The following is a 24,879-nucleotide window of genomic DNA, read 5'->3' on the forward strand; positions in this document are numbered from 1 at the left end:
ACACAGTGTGATTATGTGGTTTTAATTTGCCTTCTACAGTAACTTCTAGGACAATAACTATAGTGCCAACAGTAACAGTAATAGCATGTATCCTGCATGGAGTGCTAATTACGCTTTAGCAATTACTGTTGTGCTAAATGCTTTACGTACATCTCCTCAATTAACCTATAAAACAACAATATGAGTTAGTATTGTGATACTCATTTTAACCAATGTTCAGAGAGTAAGTGAGAGAGCCAGGGCCCAAATTCATGTCTGATGCAAAAGACACTTTGGTAAACACTACTTACTCTCTACTCAACGACGCAAGCATTTAGTAGCCACCTCTATTGATTATGGTGTTGTCTCATTCTTATGCCTCTGCTTGGGAGACCTTTAATGGCTTCTCACAGCCCACTCACTCAAGAAACATTTATAGAATGACTTTTATATTTCAGGCACTGTGGTAGAAGTAGGAATTAGGTAAAGTCAGTAGTAACGTCCTATCTTGTATTCTTGATTTTAGTAATTACTTTTTAAACTTGGTCAGTTTAACTAATGGTTTGCTGATTTTGTTGATCTTTCTAAAGAATCACCCTTGGTTTCACTGATTTTCTCTATTTATTTTATTATTTCTCTTTCAATCTTTTTAATTTCTTTTCTTATGCTTTATGAGTTTAGTTTAGTTTTCTTTGTCCAGTTTCTTAAGGTGAAAGCTTAGCTTAATGATTTGAGATTCTTTCTATATAGGTGTTTGCAGCTATGTATTTTCCTTTAAGCACTGCTTTTGCTGCATCTCATAAATATTGGTATGTTGCATCTTCATTTTCATTCATCTCAAAGCATTTTTAAATTGTATTTGCAAGTTCTTCTTTGACCCGTTGGTTATTTAGGAGTTAGTTGTTTAATTTCCATATATTTGTGAATTTCCTAAATTTACTTTTGTTATTGATTGCTAAATTCCTTTTATTGTGGTTGGATTAGTAAAAGAAGTATATGAGTAATAAAATGATTGTATAATTTCAACCTTTTAAATTTATCCAGACTTGTTTTACAGACATGATTTATTATGAAAAATGCTCCATGTGCACTTGAGTTACACTATTTTTCAATTTCTTTCTCAAGGAATCTTATTCATTTTATATCCCAGCCAGAATAATCATCATGCCTTACACTTGCTCTATGCTTGCCTGCCTCTGTGCCTGGAAGGCTCTTTGCCCTCATTTTTCCATGCCCGGCCCTTATTCATCTTTAAAATCCAGATCAAGTGAAACCTTCTTTAGAAAGTAATTCCTGATCTCACAAGCTGATTCAAGCTTTCTTTTGTCCAAATTTTTTAGAACTTTACCTTTGCTCTGTCATATTCTGTTTTATATTATGATTGGTTTTATATGTATTTTCTTCTGAGTGATTTATAAACTCTTTGGTGGAAAGACTGAGTCTTGTAAATATTTATATTTTTTAGTGAATAAAACACAGTGCCTTAAACATAGTAGACAACAAATCTTCTCCAAATGGTCAAATCAAAATTAATATGCTACAAGATACAGAATTATAAACTCAATACTGTCTATACATTAATTACTGTACATCTACCATCTACCAAATACGTTCAGAGACATTTTCCAACATTTATTTGTACTTCCTAATATTTTTGTGGTTTTAAATTTTAATATTCAACTTTTAAATATTTGTGGAATTTATTTTTTATTTATAAAGTGAGAAAATGACCTAAAGAGATTTATACCTCAGTAACATTTTTCAACTGAAACTTCTCCATGTATGTGCATTATTTTTTTCATTGGTATATTAGATTCTTATATATAACTATTATTATGTTCTCTTCTAGTCATTTGTTCACCTGTCCTTGTGGGGACACTACAATCGTGGCTTTATATTGTATTGTTTTATGGAAATATGGACTATTAATTTTTATTCTGAAAAGGAAATACATTTACAAAGTTCAAAGTTTAAAGGGATTTATAGTAAAGTTTTCCTCTCATCCATTTACACCCCAAAGCAACTGACGTTATTAGTTTATAGTGTATTAGCATAGTTCTCTGCTGCAGAGAGAGGTCCTGGAAAAAGTGTGTTGCTGGTCCACTGCAAAATGCAGAGGGTTTTATAGATGAGCTGGTGAAGAGGTAGTGTCTGATTTATATAAGTCATGGACAAACTGGTTAGGCCAGGTGTGCCTTTTGCATAGGGTGTGAATTTCTAGTGGCCCCACCCTAATCTTTTATTATTCAGGTGAGTTCTCTGCCTGAGCTGCGCCATATTGCTCATTTCTCTGTTACTGTGCATGTGATAACAAAAACAGGGAAGATGGACCCTCCATGTGTACATGCCTGGCCCCCGGGTAGCCTTTTTTTTTCTTTTGCTTTTTTTTTCAGACTGAGTTTTGCTCTTTTTGCCCAGGCTGGAGTGCAATGACGTGATCTCGCCTCACCGCAATCTCTACCTCCCAGGTTCAAGTGATTCTCCTGCCTCAGCCTCCCAAATAGCTGGGATTACAGGCATGTGCCACCATGCCCGGCTCATTTTTTGCGTTTTTTTTTTTTTTTAGTAGAGACGGGGTTTCTCCATGTTGGTCGGGCTGATCTCGAACTCCCGACCTCAGGTGATCCGCTTGCCTCGCCCTCCCAAAGTGCTGGGATTACAGGCGTGAGCCACCGCGCCCGGCTCCAGGTAGCCCTTTTCTATTGGCACAGCTGCCAGCATTCCCCCGCACTTTCAGCTTGCTAATCTATGTTTGCAGCTCGATTTTTCAGGCTGTTTTTTGTTAGAAAAAAAAAAAAATTTCTTGGGCTGCTTTTTGTTAGAAGGGAAGCTCTGCTGAGGACTCTGTTGCCCCCATTATCTGCTTACTAAATTTCTTTCTACCTCCTGTATCAATATTTTATGTATAATTAAGTATATGTATATTCTTTACTTGCCTTTTGCAAATTTTCTGTTTATTTAATACTCTGCTGTTTTGACTATGTATTATGCTTTCTACCAATGTAAAATGCCTCTTCATGTTGCTTGATGCTTTATACGTGGCATTTTATTGTAAATAGTTTAAATAAATTTTATAATACATTACTTGAAATTCTGTTTAATATGCAAACTCCTTAGTGAAAAAGGGAAAAAAGAGAGGAATTATTTACACTTTGATAGAGCATTTTAAAACGAGATGTTAATTCTAATGAATTTTCCATGAGAAAGTGATCTTACTGACTGTTTCCTTATTGCATGTGCAGTAGATTCTAGGTTATGTTGAGCTATTCATATTTCCTCAAACAGGTAGACAGGGAACAAGCACCCGTGTACAGGCACAGAAGAAAACAGGACACGACAGAGCATGCTCCACCGCACAGCCTGGAGTGCATGAGGGTGCGCGACCACAGAGAAAGCCTTACAGGACAGATTGAAATTCTCCACTTTTGATTTCATAACTAAACATCTCAGTATAATATCAGATAATGACATTTATTTTTCCAGGCCATTATTTAAGTGGAGCTGGGTTTAAGATTTGGAATATTCATTTAACAGGAACAAAATGCCTGTGGTAGACCCAAAGAAGTCTGTTTTTGCCTTACAGCTGGATTTTCATAAAAATATAGTTACAATTAAGGTCGAGATTATTCAGTTTGAACACTCAGTCTCTTAAGTTTGTCTGGAAACACATTTGTCTCTCTGTAGCTGTTTAGTAAAAGTATATTGTTTTACATGCCCATATCAAGAATAAGTTAATCCATCATCTTAATGCAGTAAAGGCAGATATGTTGAAGTGAAACTACAAGAACCCCACCATTTCATAAACATTACCATGTTTTCTTTCTCAATCACCTGCTGAAAGATAACCAGGGACCATGGCATATACTGGGTGGTCTGCCTGAATCTTTATTTCTGAATTTTAAAAAATAGCATGAAGCTTTTAGGGGCTTCTGAAATGAAATCCTTTCTTTTGATCCTCCTGTCTTCTTAGTAGGTGTGTATGAAAGTACTTTGTAAAAAATAACTATATACCAGTGAGACAAATAAGAATGGAAAATTTCAGAGAGTTAGACATCAAGCTCTTTCTTCAGCACATGGTCTGGAAAGCACTTTTAGATTTACTACTAGATACTGGTAAGGCAGGTCAAATTCTTATCAATAATTTGAATCTTAATTATACCATTTACTAGTTGCATGACTTTGGGCATGTTATCTAAGCCTCCTGTGCCCCATCTGTGAAGTGGAGGTAGCAATTCCTCAGAATTGTGGTAAGGTTTAAATGACGCATTATATTCAAAGCACTTTGCACTCATTAAAGATATTATGAGCAGATGCTCAATAAAGTGAATCCATTAACATTTTAATGTGTTACTTCAAGGTTTTTTTGTGGCTAATAATGTTGTTTTGTGTCCAACAGAAAAATGGGTGGCTCAGCACCACCAGATAGCAGCTGGAGAGGAAGTCTCAAAGTGTCCTACAATGTTGGACCTGGCTTTACTGGAAACTTTTCTACACAGTTAAGAGACTATTTTAATTTTAACTCTTTTAAGGGGGAGACTTAAAGAAAAAAATACTATAGAGGATGACAGAAAAAGTAAAATTTATGTAATACCAGCAGGAAACAAAACTGCAAGTTAGAACCAGTGTAATTTTTGCCTGTGAACAATTAGAAATCTTTAAACAAGATTGAAGATTTAAATATTATGAGTGTTGTTGGAACTCAGAAAATGAATAACCCAAAGTATGGTGTTTTGGCATGCTGAGCACTTTGAACTAAAGGATAAAAGTCCTTAGATGCAGCTTCAGAATCAATAATTCTGACCTCTTACTTCACCCCACAAGAGCAGAGTGTAAGTTTGTCTCTGAAGTTCCCTTATCTGAAGCTCCTGCAGAAGGAAGACAATGACTTTCCTTCCCCTCCCTGAAATTTTATTAACCAGGGAAGATTGAACTCATATAGTGGGAAGGAAGACTGAGGCATATCACTTTATCTGCACAGGCTTTGTCACAAGCTGTTGACTGTTCTCTAGTTCCATTCAAGTTCCAAAGAGAATTATTTATAAACTATTGCCTGCTCTTTGGGCCCATTTAACTCTCTTGAAAACCATTTACCACCCCTCAAAACCACCTGCACTCCCCCACTTCTCCCTCCTCTATGAAGAGGGTGCTAGTTAAACTTCAGCCATTTGGCCTTTGAGTCTCACATTTTGTTTGGCTCCTGTATACACTGGTGTGTTAGTAAGTTTGTACGCCTTTTCCCCTGTTAATCAATTTTCAGTTTGTTTTACCAGACTTGAACCTTCAAAGGCAGAGGGGAAAATTCCCTTAACCCTTATAGTGTTAATCTGTTAACCAGTTTTGTTTTGTTTTTTTTCAAAGAATGTCTTTTATTTTTGCATTAGAAAAGTCAAGATGCACATCCACTCTACCAATGAAGTGACGAGAATTTACAATGTGATAGGTACTCTCAGAGGAGCAGTGGAACCAGGTAAAGGAATCGTTTGCTTAGCAAATATTGATCAAGTAACTGTTATGTGCTGGATACTACCAAGCTCTGGGAGTGCAAAGTGAATCAAAACAAACAAACAAACAAACAAACAAACGAAGAAAATCAGTGGAACTCACCTAAAAACAAAAGAAATAAATATGAAATAATTTTGTATTGTGGTACAGGTGGTGAAGTGAACATTTGGTGCTAGGCTGGGCAAATGACCAAGGTGAATGATCAATTGTGCAGGCCTCAATTAAAGGATGAAGGGAAGCAGAGTAGGGAAAGATTTGTTTTCTTCTGAGTTTTCTGAATTTTTTTTTACCATATTTTTGCACAGAGAAATATCTTCATGATAACTATGAACGTCTATATAAAATATCACGCTCTTAGAAAATTAAGATAATCCTTTGCATAGTTTTATTTTCTACCACTAAAGCCACTGATAAAATATATGGACATATGATTTCCATAGAAGTTCAGATGATCTACTGATTAATACATTTTATGCATAGTCTTAGTTCGTGAAGGCTCAGTTTCTTATGAACTATTTGGTTCTGTATTTCTTACCAAAACAGATACTATTAAATGCATATTAAACATATTAATTGCATGTTTCTTACAAGCAGCTAATGATTTATTTTAGATCAAGAATATTGATATCCTTGTTGTTTGCATATTCTAAAGAGTACTAAACAATATATAAGTGGCTACTATTGAATAATACTGAGTACCTATTTTGTGCCAGCTCTGTGATAAGCATTGGAAATGGGGAGATAAAAGAAGACACAGACCCGAGGCAAAGAGCTGACAGTTTGTGAAGGGAGCCATATGCTTAAGGGTGATCAATGCTTTATCACTCCTGATAGCTGGGTAGGCAAAGAAATTCCCTCTTCTATAGAAAATACTTGAGCTGTACCTTAAAAACTGCATAGAGGGAGAAAATATTTGAGCTGTACCCTAAAAACTGAATAGAGGGAGAAAATATTTGAGCTGTACCTTAAAAACTGAAAAGAAAGAATAGGAATTGGAGAACTTCCTATGTGGCCACTATGTTCTCTTATTTTGAATATATTCGAAAGTGGTAAGTTAGGTAAGAGAGGAGTATTCTCTTATTCACACAAAAAATGTGAATAAGGATAACGTTAAACTTTCTTAATTACTTAATGTAGTACTTATAATTATGGTAATACATTTCAATATATATTTGCTTTATCACATGTATGCTTTCTCAGATAGAAGAAATACATATTAAAATCAGAAATAACATATTTTCACAAATCTTGGGGAACCTAGCCTTTTTTTTTTTTTTGAGTCATGAGTGCTTTGTATTTAGATGCTACTGAGTTGTTTGCAATGTTCTCTTTTATTGACCTGAAATGACAAATAATCTTGTATCTATGCTTTCTAGACAGATATGTCATTCTGGGAGGTCACCGGGACTCATGGGTGTTTGGTGGTATTGACCCTCAGAGTGGAGCAGCTGTTGTTCATGAAACTGTGAGGAGCTTTGGAACACTGAAAAAGGAAGGTAATACAAACAAACAGCAAAAAAACCAACCTATCTGAGTCTCAGTTTAGTCTTCTGTAAAGGGAGTATAAAAATACTACCTCAACCATTACATGTGTTTGGTAAAAATACCAATACAATTTTTAATGTTGGTTGGTTAATTATATTGTTTATTTATTTTTGCATTTATTTATATAACACATATATTATTGATATTTATGTATTAAGTGATAATCTGAAATAAAGGAATTATACTGTTAATGGTTGTTCTTGGCAACTAAGAAGATGAAGATGGGTTATTACATCACTAGAGAAAACACACTGAAATTAGATTATAAGCCAAAGCTTCCTAGTCAGAGACTGTAAGCAGACGTTCCTCCGTCTCTTCTAACCCCAGACCTCAGATTACGTGTGCAGAGTAATTAAGGAGATAGATGCTCTATTCGGAGAAATACTGGTCTTAGGTCTAATGGGATTCTGTCAAAAGTTTGGAATCTGTGTTCTCACATCCTGAGCCCTGGTGTGCTCTCGCAAAAATTAGGTTTACACTCGTAACATCACCACTTTAGCCATTTTAGAATCTTCATATGAAAGCCAAAGTAAAATTTAGTTCAAATGTTTGCTTTTTAAAATAATAATTACACATTGAGAGCAGGAAGTTCATTCTCTTTATTGACCCTGCAAACAAGGTGTCTGGGGCTGTAAAATGTAATCTATATATTTTTATCAACAATAAAAACAATAATGTATGTTGTTTGCATAGTATTTACTTTTTTTTTGAGAAACTGTTTTTATATGTCCTATCTTCTTTGAAGTCATAGCAACTAGGGAGAAGACATATTTACTTATCTTCTCATGTTACAGATAAGTTAACCAAGGTTTAGAGAATCAAGTAATTTCCCCAGGATTATGTAGCTAGCATGTGGCAGAATAAGAGAATCAGGGCTCAAACTGAAATTTCTGACTACCAGTCCTCAAAACCATGATGTCTCTATTTAAAATAAAATGTAAAGGCACTTAGTTCTTTTTTCTACACAGCTATCTTATATTTGAAGAAAACAAACAATGGAGACCTAAATTTACATAATTCATGAAGTAGGTAGTGTTTAATTTTATTACAAAAATGTTTCATGATTTTTCTAGGAAATTCCTGTGGTAACTATACAAAACATCACTGTGACAATTATAGAATATGCCAAATAAGTGGAATGTTGATAAATAATAATAGGAAATTTGAATAATACTATTGACAAAAACAAAAGACTCGAGTTAACAGCTATACTATACACATTCTTAAGCACACATGAGTATTTACTAAGATGGTGACTACTCGCAATTTTGGGGGCATCTACTCAGTGCTTTCTAAACATTATTCCATCTAATCCTCCCACAATCAAGTGGTGTCTTCATCTTTACTCTCTTGTTCCTTGTATACAGATGAAGAAATGGAAGTTTAGTAGGTTTGAATAACTTTCCCTCAGTCATGCTGCTAGTGAGAGAACCAGGGTTTGAAACAAGATCTTGCCTTAATTCCAAGGTCAGTGTTTATAACCTCCGAGACACATCACCCCTCTATTGAATTATGTGGTTTTCAGCAACAGCAAACATTGCTGTTGCTAACTGAGCCCTTGTTGATTAATTCTGGCAGAGAATGGAGTGAAATCATACGGACCAGCTGATATTGAACAATTGTTCATTTGATGTCAGAACAACAGGAAAGAGTTCTAAAGGATTTTCTTTCAGTTATATCTGCTTTCAGAATACCAAATGCATCTAGAAATTTCTTTCTTTGTTCTAGGCAGTTGCAGACCACCAATGACTTCCTATGCATAGCGAATCATTATAAACCTATTAGAATGTTTTATGATCTTGCAAGATTTTTACTGTCACATTTCCCCCCTTTTCTATGTAATTGTGCTATTTTGTATTGACAACTTTAAAATCTTACCAAAGAAAGTTATGTAAGTAAAGATTTTTTACTACAATTTGCCCTTCCCAAACCATCAATGACTTTTTTTTTTTTCCCCAATCTGGGCTTGGTAGTGTCCTGGGTATATTATGAATTTTTTTTCTATCATTTATATATACACATACATTTTAGGGTGGAGACCTAGAAGAACAATTTTGTTTGCAAGCTGGGATGCAGAAGAATTTGGTCTTCTTGGTTCTACTGAGTGGGCAGAGGTTAGTTGGTAATTTGCTATAATATAAATTTTTATAAAATGAAGTAGCCAGGAATTATTTGCCAAGCATGTAAAAATAAGAAGTGAATATAATGAGAAAGTATTCAAAGTTTTTTCCCCAAAATCTGAGTAACATATTCTTGTTCAAAAATCAGCAATAAAAATCTCTGTTGCTAAAGAACTAAGTTTTGTTTGAACCTTTTAGAGCCACTTAATGTCAATTGTCAAAATTAATTGATCTTTATTTCCTGGGAGTATGAGAGTAAATAAGTAGATATGCTAGAAACCAAACATCAAAACAAGGAGTTAGTTTCTTAATCATATTGTAGTTTATTCTTCAAAATATTGTCTTAGCAAACATGAACGACCTAACAGACTTTTCAGTGAATATCTTCCCATAAACATGTCATTTAAATGGAGAATCTTGTCTGATTCAAAGGGAATTAAGCTATTTCAAATTTATGAAAAATATGAAGTTAAATTGTCTCTATTTCCTGACCATGAAGCCAAATTTTCCTGTATCATGTTTGATTTCTATCACGATTCTATTACGCTTTCCAAAATATCTCCTAAAGCTAACTATACAGAGTCTCGCTCTGTTGCCCAGGCTGGAGTACAGTGACGTGATTTCTGCGCATTGCAGTGTCAGCATCCCGGGTTCAAGCAATTCTCCTGCCCTAGGCTCCTGAGTAGCTGGGATTACAGGCATGTGCCACCACACCTGGCTAATTTTTTTATATTTAATAGAGACAGGGTTTTGCTGTGTTGGCCAGGCTGGCCTCAAACTCCTGAGCTTAAGTGATATGCCTGCCTCGGCCTCCCGGAGTGCTAGGAATACAGGCGTGCGTCACCACGCCTGGCCGTAAGGTATACTTTTCATTTATCTTTCTTAATTCATAATGACCTGCTCTATGTTAAATTATGCTAAAAGTAAGGCAAAAATTTCCACCACAGAATATTTACTAAGCCATTTGAAAAGTAATTTTACCTGCATGTATTGTTGGCTTTATATAACAGAAATGTTAGCTATAAAGTAAATATATGCAAAGTCAATGTTTATTCCATTAATTTCCAGTCACGCTGTAAATATTTATTGGCTCCTTTCATACTCCAGATATTATGTGAAACCCTGTGGACTTTAATTTTCTTTGAAAAAAAAATGGTGCTCCTGTAGACTTAGTCAAAGTTTTATAAGAAAGAATTTTGCCACTATCTGGAAGAACCTAATATTTTGATGATGTAATTTGTGTCTTTCAAATTATTTTTTTCACTTACAGTTGCATTTTTTTCATTTTTTATCTTATAGTCAGAATGCTTAGGAAATTACGTATTTTAGAGACTCAGAATTCACACTGATATCTCAAAAAAACTTTGCTACGCTTTGTTCTAAAAGTGTGCAATTATCAATATTGACCAGGAGATGGTACCATCCTACAGGAGAGCCTGACTTCATGGTCAGGAGATGATTTAAGTTCACTTATTTTTCATAATATGAAATTTAACTTGAAATTTCATACACTTAAAATACCTTCATTCCATATGAATCAGACAAGATTCTCTGCTTAAATAATGAGATGTTTATAGGAAGATTTTCACTGAAAAGTCTCTTAGGTCATTCATGTTTGCTAAGACAATTTTTTGAAGGATAAACTACAGTATGGTTAAGAAATTAACTCTTTTTCCACTTACCATAAGTATATGGACAATTTCATCTTAAATATTAGCTTTTAACAAGTTTTGCTTGTTGTTTCCTACCAGTAATCTTTATTGAAATTCTTTCAAAGCAGCTCTTTTATGAGAATTTCTTATGTCAAATTTGTCATTAATATGGGTCAGCTCAATTAGAAATCTACATACATTAAATGTAGATGTGCATTTTGTGGGGGAGGGGGAGGGGGTTATAACTTTATATTTATAGTTTTCCTTTTTATTGTAGGATAATTCAAGACTCCTTCAAGAGCGTGGCGTGGCTTATATTAATGCTGACTCATCTATAGAAGGTGAATATCGTTGGTCTCATAAGAAAAGATGTGATTAAACTAGGAGCAGCAGTCTAGCTAATAAATTATGCACTAACAAGGAAGGCTATGTATTAACGTGTGGTTAGGGAATCTACTGCAACCTCTGACAGGAAGCAGTGTGTGAACCCTAGTTGAGAGTTGGGTGAGCCCTAGGTGAGCAGGTTTTTCTTTTCTTCTTTCCTTTCCTTTTGTTTTCTTTTCTCTTTTCTTTTCTTTCTTTTCTTACTTTTTTTTTTTCTTTGCTTTGCAGCATAGAGTACTAATTCAGAAAAGCAGCATTCTTTGATTAGCTTCATCTGGCAGATTTCTTTTTATATACAGCAGGAATTTAGTAAGTATCTGTTGAATGATTAACTCAGGGACCTAAAGAGTTCTATAATTTAGAATGGTGTAGAAAAAAAGTATCATTTGTGGGGTGCGGTGGCTCACGCCTGTAGTCGCAGCACTTTGGGAGGCTGAAGCGGGTGGATCACTTCAGGTCAGGATTTCGAAACCAGCCTGGCCAACATGGTGAAACCCCATAGCTATTACAAATGCAAAAATTAGCCGGGCGTGGTGGCGCACTCAGTATAGATAATATGCTAAATCAATCTTGAATTATAATGTATGCAGGTACTTTAGAAAGGGTAGGATAAAACCACTCTGGGAGTTCAGAGGAAAGAATAATAGAAACTTCAGGAAAGGCTTGAGAAAGGGGATAGGCATTTGAGGCTGACTTTGAAGAATGGAAATACGTTTAATAAGCAAAGGACCAAACTAAAGGAAATCTCAGATTGATTTTCATGAAAATGAAAGAGTCCATTGTCACTACAATCCAGCTCCACTAATATATCTATATCTTGACCATATGCAACATCCCAGTCATTGCACTCCTGTTCTCTACACTCAGATTGCTCTTCAACACCTCTTTATGTGTTTAATCCTTATCCTTAGACCCTCCGTTGAAATGTTACTTTTTCAGGGAAGACATGTCTTCATGGCATTCATCACTGTCATTATTAAGTAATTATTTGTTTTACAAGTAATAGACTGTATTCTTTAACAAGGAACAGACAGTATCTTGCTTATTCACTCCTAGATTCCTAATGTCTTATTAAATAAATATCTGTGGTACGGTTGCAAAAAAAAAAAAAAGGACTAAATGAATGAAGGGGGAATTTTTTAGAATATTTTCTTTAGTGTATTAGTAAATTTGCCATGTCAACACTCGGAACATGAGACCTTGATGGAGTCACGTTGGCATTTTCTTTTTCTTTTTCTGTTTTTTTTTTGTGTCTTTTTTTGTTTCTGTTCTTTTTCTGTTTTTTGTTTGTTTGTTTGTTTTTTCTGTTTCCGTTCTTCTTCTTTTGTTTGTCTGCTTGTTTGTTTTGAGTCAGGGTCTCACTCCGCAGCCCAGGTTGGAGTGCATGGAGTGATCATGGCTCACTAGTCTTGATTTCCCAGGCTCAAGTGATCCACCAACCTCAGACTCCTTGGTAGCTGGGACTACAGGCAAACGCTAGACGTCCAGCTAATTTTTGTATTTTTAGTGGAGATGACGTTTGACCATATTACCCAGGTTGGTCTCAAACTCCTGGGCTCAAGCTGTCTATCCACATTGTTCTCCCAAAATGCTAGGATAACGGGTCTGAGCCACAGCTCCCAACCTTCCTTTTCTTCTTTGTCAATGCCTCTGAGCTACACTGTTCTGAAAGTTAGTTTACACAGTGCATTTGGTTATTCTTTTCTCCTTCTCTTAGGGTAGTGGCTAAGAGCTTGACCTTTGGCGTCAGATGCCTGGATTCATTCCTGGCCCTGCAACTTCCCATTTGTGTGACCCAAGCTATTTACTTTCTGTGCCTCAGTTTTCTCACATCTAAATATAACTTCTAAGAGCCCCTATCTCAAAGGCTCCTGTAAGGGCAAAAAAAGTTACATTTGCAAATCTCCCAGACCTGTGCCTTGCACAGAGTAAATGTCAAAAAAAGTTAACTTTGATTAGGATCATTACACCTACTTAAAACACATAATAAGGTGAAATATATATATGTGTATATATATATATGTATATTATATGCCCACCCAGAATAAATACTCCAAATATATTTTCTTGAAATGTAGAATAACGTTCTCTTTATTGATAGTTTTTTTCTGTTTTTTTTTGTTGTTGTTGTTGTTGTTGTTATTGTTGTTTTGAAATGAGATCTTGTAGTATTGTCCAGGATAGTTTCAAACTCCTGAGCTCAACTGAACCTCCCCCGTCAGCCTCCCAAGTAGCTGGGAAAACAGGTGTGTGGCACAATACTTGGCCATAGTTTTTTAAGATTTGATATTTTAATGTATTTTAAAAACTCATTAAGCTTTGCTACTTATGTCATCCCTGGCTTGAAATTGCTTCATTGTGTCTCTATAATTTTCAAAATCGAGAACAAAGGACAGGAGGTACTATATGATTGGGACACCATTCATCTCACTTGTTTTATATTTTTACATTGTATTAATTTTTCTTTCTCAAATAATACAAATAATCATAGATTCTGAAATTTCTAATGTTAAAATGTAAAATTTACAAATAAAGCAAAACTCCTCAATGCAAACTACTCTCAAACTTAGTCCTCTCTCCAAAGGTATTACTGTCCTCAGTTTTGGGTGTTCCCATCATGTTGGCATTAATATATAGAATTTAGCTTCACAAAGCACCAAAAGCATAGTGGGTGCTATCTCAGGTGCTTTACACGTAAAAAAATTATTCAGTACTCACAATAACCCTCTGAGATAAGTAGGTAAATATTTTTATTATCTCTTTTGTATAAAAGAAGAAACTGACACTCAGAGAGGTTAAGTAACTTTCCCAAGGCCACACAGCTAGTGAAGGGTTGAGCTTAGACTCAAATCAGACTAGTCTGTTCCAACTTTACCCTTCTAACCACTACACTCTATTGTCTCTCACCACCTTAAACAGGTATTTGGTATCATATTACAGCTAAATGGTTCTACAGCTTGCCTTTTTCATTCAGCAACACATTATGAAAAACTTTCCATATCAGCACATATCTCTGTTTCACTTAAAAAACAAACACTACCACCAGACAACAAAAATCTACACTATAATCAATAGGACAAATTCTGTATCAATTTTCTAGCTGCTGGACAGATTGCTTCAGTTTGTTGTGGTTAATATTATTTTATTTGCATGCTTTTTTGGTATAATGTGAGGAGAGGGTAGAGAGCTACAAGTATATTTATTTGGTCTTAGGATGTGGGCAATTAAATTGTAATAAATGCTGCCAAACTACTCCCCTCCCCAATTTCCACTCCTATAAACACTTCTGTTTTAAAAATTACATTGGCTGTTTGTACATATTTATTCTTCCAGATAAATTTTAGAATCTAAAATCAAATCTTTAAGTTCCATAAACAATTCTGTTGTGGTGTCACTGTTTTAAAAGCCTCAACTTTTGCTGTTCTCAAACATGGATCTGGGGCTTTGGGATAAAAGCTAGTTGCCATCCTCTGAGTGTTTCATGTGCTTTTACATTTCTGGGCATTTGCACAGTCTATGCCTTTAGCTGCAAATACCATTTTTCCCCCCAACTGCGTCCTGATTCTAGAAAACCCAGTTCAAGAGTCCCCTCTCCAAGTTTGTGAAGTTGTCTTGACTTCCCTCCCCCAAAACTCCTCCTGAGTCAGCAGCCCCTCCCTGTGCTGTCTTGGCTTCCCAAGAACACCTCTCCTGGGTGCTTCACTTGATTGTCGCAACCACCAGCCCCCTCCTGAGGAATGGGGACTGAAACTCTAAGAAGAGCATCTGGTTCACAAATTCATTGTCACAACAAATATTGATTGGTTAAATACCAAATTCTAGGATTGTTCTAAGCACTGGGGTATGGCAGCAAACAAGAGAGTGCACCTTACCCCAGGGGACTTATCTTCTAGTGGGAGGGCCAATAATAAAAAGACAAGTACTTAATATGTTTTATGTTAAATAGATGAGTAATATGGAGAAACATGAGCCAAGGTTAAAAGAGAGAGTGGCTAAAATTAGGGGGTAAGAGAGTGCTATTTTAGGTAGGGTGATCAGGGGAAATCTCTCAGAAAAACATGATATTAGACCAGAGGAGGAGGAGTAAGTCATGCAGATATAATGCAGAATACTGTTCCAGGCTGGAAGGACAGTGTGTGCAAAGATGCTGAGGGAGTATTCTTGGGCAGAATGTAAAATGCAGATTTTTGAGAGGTGAGCTGGGGTTTCATACATGGCAGTGTGGGCCATGGTGAGGATGATGGACTTTACAGAGTTAGTTGGGAAGCCATTGGAGAGTTACAGTTGAAATCAGGTTTTAAAACAATCATTCTGGTAGGAATTTAGCAGTGGTCTTTGAAGAAAATAATAACAGAAAGAAATTAAATTTTAAAATCTATTCTTTTCTTATTTTTCAGGAAACTACACTCTGAGAGTTGATTGTACACCACTGATGTACAGCTTGGTATACAACCTAACAAAAGAGGTATACAATTACATATAATTTAGGAAAACCCAAGTTCTACAAATGACGTTTTCTTGAGGTATTATTATGTTAAACATTGGTGTTGTTTTATAACTTCTTGTCTTCTTTTCATATAACATATATGACATCACATCTTCACAGACCATCACATCTAGTAAACTGTTTACACAGATTGCCTCATTTCTCACCACACCACTGTGAGGTAGCCCGTTAGTAGCATCATGTCTACCATCTCCATTCTTAAAACAGTGAAACTGAGCTCAAAGAACATTGGCCACCAAAGTCACACACAACTTGTACGGTAGCCGAACCAAGACTTGGTCCTATGGCTCAACTCCTTAATTAAAAAACTTGTTTATACTCTTCAGTATAGTGATACCAATTAATTCAGAACACAGGAATCATTAAATGATCCAATTGACTGAGAAAGAATATTCATAAGAATACCAGGTGCTGGCTTCCAGGGACAGAGGCTAGATGAGATCACAATTACATTTTTTCAGATAGGGATTATAAATAAAATTTAAATGCCATTAAGCTTTGGTTGCAAAAGAATGGAATGGAGGAGTGACCAAGATGACTGACTAGAAGCAACTATGGTGTGTGGCTCTCACAAAGAGAAATTGAAGGGGCAAGTAAATACAGCACCTTCAACTGAAATGAACAGATACTCACATTGGGACTAATCAAGGAAACAACCCAACCCAAGGAGAATGGAGAAAAGCAAGGCAGGACGACGGCCCACCTGGGAATGACACAGAGTCAAGAGAACTTCCCCCACCCAGGAAAATGATGAGCGAATGTGCAACCCCAGGAAACGATGCTTTTTCCATGGATCTTTGCAACCCTTAGGTCAGCAGATACCCTCGTGAACCCACTCCACCAGGGCCTTCAGTCTGATACACAGCTGCATGGAGTCTTAGCAGAACAGCCACTCAGGCATGCATGGAGACACAGGAGCTTTAGATACACCAGCTTTCCAGGCTTCATGGCAAAAGTAACTGCAACTCCAGCACAGCAGGAGGTTAGACCCCCATACATACCCATAAAAAAGAGGCCGAATTCAAGGGCCTGAGCAGTGATGGCCTGCAGGCCCCACTTCCACAGCACCTCACAGGATAAGACCCACTGGCTTGGATTTCCAGCCAGCCACTGGTAGCAGTGTTGTGCCTATCTGGGAAAGAGCTCTTGGGGGGTGGTGGGGGGCAGGGAGGTGGGGGTGGAAGGGTGGGCTGCCATCTTTGCTGTTTGAGTGGCTTAGCCATTCCCACCTTTAGGCTTTGGAGAGCCCAAGATGACTTGGGGGGGGGGTGGAAGCAGCACCCCAGCACAGCACAGTGGCCCCACAAAAACGTGGCCAGACTTCCTTATAAAGCAGATCCCCAACTGCGTTCCTCATCAATGGGTGGAGCCTCCCAACTAGGGTTTCTGGCTACCCCCACTGGTGTTCTCTGGCTAACAGAGGTTTTAGGACACCCTGGGATGGAGCTGCCAGGAGGAGGGGCAGACCACCATCTTTGCTGTTTGGGTGACTTAGCCATCCCAGGTTTCAGACTTCGGAGTGTCCAAGACAACCAAGGGCTGAAGTGGACCCTCACCACAGCACAGTTGCTCTACAAAAACGTGGCCAGACTACTTTTTAAACTGGGTCCCTGATCCTTTTCCTCCTGTCTGGGTAAGACCTCCCAGTGGGGTCTCCAGCCACCTCCTACAGGTCTGTTCAGGCTGGCAACATGTCTATAACTCCCTTGGATGGAGGTCCCACAGTAAGAAGCAGGCTGCATTCTTTACTGTTTCACAGCCATCACCGATGATTCCTCCAGGTACTGTAAAATCTGAGGCAACTAGTGATTGGAGTCGAGCCCCCAGCACAACACAGCAGCCCTGCAGAAAAGTGGCTAGACTGTTTAAAAAAAAGAAAAGAAAAGAAAAGAAAAGAACAAGCTCCACTCAAAGGTCACCAACCTCAAAGACTGAAGGCAGATAAGCCCACAAAGATGAGAAAGGATCAGTACAAGAACACTGAAAACTCAAAATGCCACAGTGCCCTCTTTCCTCCAAATGACTGCATCACTTCTCCAGCAAGGGTTCAGAACCGGGTTGAGGCTGAGATGCCTGAAATGACAGAAGTAGAATTCATAATATGGATAGGGACAAAGTTTACTGAACTAAAGGAGCTTGTTGTAACCCAATTCTAGGAAGCTAAAAATCATGTTAAAACATTGCAGGAACTGACAGTAAAATAAGCCAGTTTAGAGAAGAATAGAGTTGAAAAATACTACAGCAACTTCACAATGCAATCACAAGTATTAATAGCAGTATAGACCAAGTGAAGGAAAGAATATTAGAGCTTGAAGACTGTCTTTCTGAAATAATACAGGCAGACAAGAATAGAGAAAAAGGAATGAACAAAACCTCCAAGAAATATGTGATTATGTAAAGAGACTGAATCTATGACTGATTGGTGTACTTGAAAGAGATGGGAAGAATGGAACCAGCTTGGAAAACATATTCCAGGATATAATCCATGAGAACTTTCCCAACATAGCTAGATAGGCCAACATTCAAATTCAGGAAATGCAGAGAACCTCAGTAAGATACTACTTGAGAAGATCATCCCCAAGACACATACTCATCAGATTCTCCAAGGACAAAATGAGAGACAAAATGTTAAAGGCAGCTAGAGGGAAAGGCCAGGTTACCTACAAAGGGAAGCCCATCAGCCTAACAGTGGACCTCTCAGCTGAAACCCTGCAAGCCAGAAGAGATTAGGGGCCAATGTTCAACATTCTTAGAAAAAAGAAATTCCAATTCAGAATTTCATATCCGACCACATTGAGCTTTATACGTGAAGGAGAAATAAGATTCTTTCAAGACAAGCAAATGCTGAGGGAATTTGTTACCACCAGACCTGTCTTAACAAGAGTTATTGACAGAAGTACTAAATATGGGCAGGAAAGACTGTCACCAGCCACAACAAAAACACACTGAAGTACACAGACCAGTGATACTATAAAGCAATCACATAAGTCTGCAGAATAACCAGCTAACATCATGATGACAGGATCAAATCCACACATTTCAATTCTAATCTTATATGCAAATGGGCTAAATACACCAATTAAAATACATAGAGTGGCAAGCTGGATAAAGAACCAGGACCTATTGGTATCCTGTCTTCAAGAGACCCTTCTCATATGCAATGACACACATAAGTCAAAATAAATAGATGAAGGAAAGTCTATCAAGCAAATAGAAAACAGAAAAATGCAGGAGTTGCAATTCTAGTTTCTGACAAAACAGACTTTAAACCAACAAAGATTAAAAAAAAGACAAAGAAGGGCATCACATAACAGTAAAGGATTCAATTCAACAAGAAGAGCTTACTGTCCTAAATATATATGCACATAACACAGGAGCACCCAGATTCATAAGGCAAGTTCTCAGAGACCTTCAAAGAGACTTAGACTCCCACACAATAATAATGGTAGACTTTAACAGCCTATTGAAAATATTAATTAATTTTCAAGACATAAAATAACAAAGATATTCATGGCCTAAACTGAGTACTGGATCAAATGGACCTGATAGATATCTACAAAATTCTCCACCCAGAAACAACAGAATAGACATTCTTGTCATCAGCTCATGGCACTTACTCTAAAATTGATCACATAATTGGAAGTAAAACACTCCTCAGCAAAAGCAAGAGAAATGAAATTAAAAACGTCTCTTGTACTGCCATGCAAATTCAAAATCAAGAGAAAGAAATTCACTCAAAACTATTCAATTCCATGGAAATTGAATAACCTGCTCCTGAATGACTTGTGGGTATATAATGAGATAAAAGCAGGAATCAAGAAGTTCTTTGAAACTAATGAGAACAAAGATATGACACACCAGAATCTCTGGGACACAGCTAAGGCAGAATTAAAAGGGAAATTTATAGCACTAAATGCCCACATTAAAAGTTAGAAATATCTGGCCAGGTGTGGTGGCTCACTCCTGTAATCCCAGCACTTTGGGAGGCCGAGGAGGGCAGATCACAAGGTCAGGAGATTGAGACCATCCTGGCAAACACAGTGAAACCCCATCTCTACTAAAATTACAAAAAATTAGCCAGATGTGGTGGCGGGTGCCTGTAGTCCCAGCTACTCGGGAGGCTGAGGCAGGAGAATCGCTTGAACCCAGGAGGTGGAGGTTGCAGTGAGCTGAGATCACGTCACGGCACTCCAGCCTGGACAACAGAGAGAGACTCCGTCTCAAAAAAAAAAAAAAAAAGTTAGAAAGATCTCAAGTTAACAACCTAGTGTCAAAACTAAATATACTAGAGAACAAAAGTAAACAAACCCCAAAGCTAGCAGAAGACACAAAATAACCAAGACCACAGCTGAACTGAAGGTGTTGGAGACATGAAAAACCCTTCAAAATATTAATGAATCCAGGAGCTGATTTTTTGGAAAAAAAAAAAAATAGAGTGCTAGCTAGACTAATAAAGAAGAAAAGTGATAAGATTCAAATAAACACTGTCAGAAATGATAAGGGGGAATATTCCCACTGACCCCACAGAAATACAAACATCAGAGAACATTGTAAACACCTCTATGCACATAAACTAAAGAATCTAGAAGAAATGGAAATTAGCTGGGTGTGGTGGCAGGTGCCTGTAATCCCAGCTACTCGGGAGGCTGAAGCAGGATAATTGCGTGAACGAGGTTGCAGTGAGCAGAGATGGCACAATTGCCCTCTAGCCCAGGCGACAGTGCAAGACTTCATCAAAAAACAAAACAAAAACAGAAAAAAAAAAAAAGAAAAGGAAAAAGAGAAAAAAGGATAAATTCCTGGAAACATACACCTTCCGAAGGCTGAACCAGAAAGAAATTGAATCCCTGAACAGGCCAATCATAAGTTCTGAAACTGAGGCAGTAATAAATAGCTTACCAACCAAAAAAAAGCCGAGGACCAAATGGATTCACAGCTTAATTCTACCAGAGGTACAAAGAAGGGCTGGTACTATTTCTATTGAAACTATTTCCAAATAATTAGGAGGAGAGACTCCTCCCTAACTAATTCTATGAGTCCAGCATCATCCCAATACCAAAACTTGGCAGAGATACAACAGCAACAAAAATTCAGGCCAGTATCTATGATGAACAATGATGCAAAAATCCTCAATAAAATACTGGCAAACAGAATCCAGCAGCACATTAGAAAGTTTATCCACCACAATCAAGTAGGCTTCATCCCAGGGATGCAAGTTTGATTCAACATATGCAAATCAATAAATGCAGTTAATCACATAGGCAGAACTAGAAACAAAAACCACATGATTATCTCAATAAATGCAGAAAAAAGCTTTCAATAACATTGAATATCTCTTCATGTTAAAAGCTATCAATAAACTAGGTATTGAAGGAGCAAACCTCAAAATAATAAGAGCCATATATGACAAACCCACAGCCAACATTGTACTGAATGGGCCAAAGCTATAACCAGTCCTTTTCAAAACCGACACAAAATAAGGATTCTTCTCTAATCACTCCTATTCAACATAGTATTGGAAGTGCTGGCCAGAGTAATCAGGCAAGACAAAAAAAATAAAGCTCATTCAAATAAAAAGAGAGGAGGTCAAACTATCCCTGTTTGCAGATGACATGATTCTATATCTAGGAAATTCCATTGTCAAAGCCCAAAAGCTCCTTAAGCTGATAAGCAACTTTATCAGTCTCAGGATACAAAATCAATGTGCAAAAATTGCTAGCATTCCTATACACCAACAACAGACAAGCCAAGAGCCAAGTCACAAATTAACACTCATTCACAATTACCACAAAATGAATAAAATACCTATGAATACAGCTAACTCAGGAGGTGAAAGATCTCTACAAGGAGAACTACAAACCACTGCCCTAAGAAATCAGAGATGACATATTCAAATGGAAAAACATTCCATGCTCATAGGAAGAATCAATATCATTAAAATGGCCATATTGCCCAAAGTAATTTATAGATTCAGTGCTATTCCTATTAAACTATTATTGGCATTCTTCACAGAATTTGAAAAATCTGTTTTAAAATTCATATGGATCCATAAAAGAGCCCATATAACCAAGGCAATCCTAAGCAAAAAGAACAAAGCTGGAGACATCAAACTATACTATGAGGCTACAGTAACCAAAACAGCATGATACTGGTACAAGAACAGACATTGCAGTTTATTGTATGTTATTGAATGACTTTGGTAACCCTACTGGCAAGAAACAATATTAAATTGAATCCTTCCCCTTAACCAGTTTGCTTCTTTTTATTTTCTTTGTTGTGAGAAGAGAAATAGTTTTGATTGTAGTATCTTTTAATTCAGAAAAATAGACAAAAAGATCATACACTATGCCATTCATCTAAAGACAATGGCTTGGTATGAATTTGGTGTAGCCTGTTTATGCTATGCACTTCATACATTTATTTTTATAATATAGTTCACCTATATATAACCACATGAGTATTTTCCCACTTGTCAGAAACTTATAATTCTTGATGACTGCTAATGTATGGATAGCATCCCTTGTTTTTGCTGAATTGTGGCTTAGTTACTCACTTCTCGTTAATGGACATCTAGTTTTTAATATATCTGATTTGTAAGTATTCTCTTTTTTTCTTTTAATTTGTGTAGCTGAAAAGCCCTGATGAAGGCTTTGAAGGCAAATCTCTTTATGAAAGTTGGACTAAAAAAAGTCCTTCCCCAGAGTTCAGTGGCATGCCCAGGTAAATAAATGAATGAAGTTTCCACTAAATTCAGTGTGGGATCGTTTTGAAAATAAAAGCATATTTTCTTTCAATCATTAAGTGAAAAATTAAGTTTCAAAATGGTCTAAAATCTGATAAAGGAAAAGCATTACTTTGGTTCACAAATAAAATATTACTGTGTGTTTTGTAGTTAAATCTGCAGGATATCAAAACGTGATTTCTCTTTAGAATATATAATATATACATATGGAACATTTCAACAGATTATAAAGATTGGTCATTTCTTATATGAAATGCGTGGGATGAGAAGTGTTTTGGACTTTGGATTATTTTAAGATTTTGGAATATTTGCATTATACTTACTGGTTGAACATCCCTAATCTGAAAATTCATAATCTGAAATGCTTCAGTTAGCATTTCCTTTCAGTGTCATGTAGGTGCTTAAAAACTTTTGGATTTTGCAGCATTTTTAAAAATGTTCTAATCTTTAATTTTTATGAGTACGTAGTAGGTGTATTTATTTTTGGGGTGCATGAAATGTTTTGATACAGATTTTGGATTTTTGGATTAGGGATACTCAACCCATGATAGAGATAATGATGAAAAGTAATTTTCCTCATTTTTCTGCCACCTCATCACCTTGTAATTATCCTTTTTCTGAATATCATATAGTTAACAAATATTTTGCTTATTGCAATAAAAATGCAAGCATCATTTCAACATTGGTTGTATCTTCACAAGCAAGGGAAGAAGAATAAATATCTCAGTGCTCTGAGTTTATCGATGTCAACAGCACTATTTATATTATTAAGGGCAAAATTTATGTCCAAATTATCTGAAAAATATTTGCTTTTCACTCTATTATGTACAACAAATACAGATGATAAATGGAATGAAATAATCTTAAGGAAAATGTTTTCCAACTTCAGAAACCTTTAACAAAATGTGGCATAAAATAGTCATTCCTACACGAAATAGTCTCATAGAAGGAGATATTTTGTGATCAAAATTAATATTCTTTTTATGTTTTTGCTGCATGTCTAAAGCTGTATGTTTAAAATTACATTTATAATAGTAAGAATGGGGTTTATTTTAATGGACATGTAATCTGTGCTTAATGAACAAATTACTTTGAAATAATTCTGTTGTTTTATCTCTAAAAGGATAAGCAAATTGGGATCTGGAAATGATTTTGAGGTGTTCTTCCAACGACTTGGAATTGCTTCAGGCAGAGCACGGTATACTAAAAATTGGGTAAGTGAATCTCAAATTATCCAAGATTATTTATGAATATGTTTTAACTAAACAAATAATTCTGACTCCAAAAAGTGACTCAAGCATTAGAGGAATAGAGAAATTTGAAAGCAGAGGGAGAAGTCTCAATGGTTGACAGTATCACTACTACGTAGGATAACTCCTGTATCTGGTATTCCAACCCTAAATTCAAGTGTCAGTTGGTATCAATACTCATGTCTGCAAATGTGAACTTCCGTGTACTCCTTTAAACATATTTTCTGTTTCATTTGGTGGCATTGCATTCACTCAGTCATTTAAGTTGGAAATGTAGGAATTGTCTTTGATTTCACCCTCCTCCTTATTCAAAATTAGTCAGTATCTCCCCATTGTCATTCAAAATTAATGAGTGTATTTGGATTTCCATCTCTTACTGTATCTCCAATTATTAAACAAATAACAAGTCATTAAACAAATGAAAAATGTTATATATATTAGTCTGTTTTCCTGCTCCTAATAAAGACATACCCGAGACTGGGTCATTTACAAAGGAAATATGTTTAATTGACTCACAGTTTCCTATGGCTGGGGAGGCCTCACAATCACGGCTGAAGGTGAATGAGGAGCAAAGTTACATCTTGCATGGCAGCAGGCAAGAGAGCATATGCAGGGGAACTTCCCTTTATAAAACCATCAGCTCACATGAGACTTATTCACTATCACGAGAGCAGTGCAGGAAAACTCGTCCCCCATGATTCAATTACCTCCTACAAGGTCTCTCCCATGACACGTGGGGATTATCATAATTCAAGGTGAGATTTGGGTGGGGACACAGAGTCAAATCATATCAGTATAATACACTGTGTACGTGTAAAAGTCATGATTCCCTTTCTTTTGTTGTTGATTACATATATATATATATGGTTTTCATTTTCTTCAAAGTAAATTGGGTACATAGTTTATAAAATGTCAAGTAGTTTTATAAGAACACTGGTTTATAATTAAAAACAGTTGTTTCTTATTTCCATTTCATATTCATACCACCCCTGATTTCTGTTCATCAGATGAAACCTTTGTCAACTTTTATGATACATCCATATTTATAAGTAATATTTTAATCCTGATACTTCTTCAATTTTAAATTTTATGTTACAAAGAAAAATCATTCTCACAGTTATAAAAATGGCAAGGAAGAGTTCATTCAAAACTATTCCAATAAGAATATTGCAATAATAAGAGATCGAGCTCAACTCCA

The 24,879-nt window shown here is 36.4% G+C and overlaps 1 pseudogene across 1 annotated transcript in view; it reads left to right on the top strand.

Moving 5' to 3' along the window:
* The window catches only part of FOLH1B (folate hydrolase 1B (pseudogene)), a 39,451-nt pseudogene that overhangs the window by 5,762 nt on the left and 8,810 nt on the right, over positions 1-24,879 (top strand). The window contains exons 3-10 of the transcript NR_175944.1: positions 4,376-4,474; positions 5,361-5,446; positions 6,858-6,977; positions 9,058-9,140; positions 11,076-11,139; positions 15,580-15,647; positions 22,318-22,409; positions 23,555-23,645. The product of NR_175944.1 is annotated as a folate hydrolase 1B (pseudogene) (transcript). The remainder of the gene's footprint in view (positions 1-4,375; positions 4,475-5,360; positions 5,447-6,857; positions 6,978-9,057; positions 9,141-11,075; positions 11,140-15,579; positions 15,648-22,317; positions 22,410-23,554; positions 23,646-24,879) is intronic.

This window comes from Homo sapiens, chromosome 11 (genome assembly GCF_000001405.40).
Source record: "Homo sapiens chromosome 11, GRCh38.p14 Primary Assembly".
Classification (NCBI taxonomy): Eukaryota; Metazoa; Chordata; class Mammalia; order Primates; family Hominidae; genus Homo; species Homo sapiens.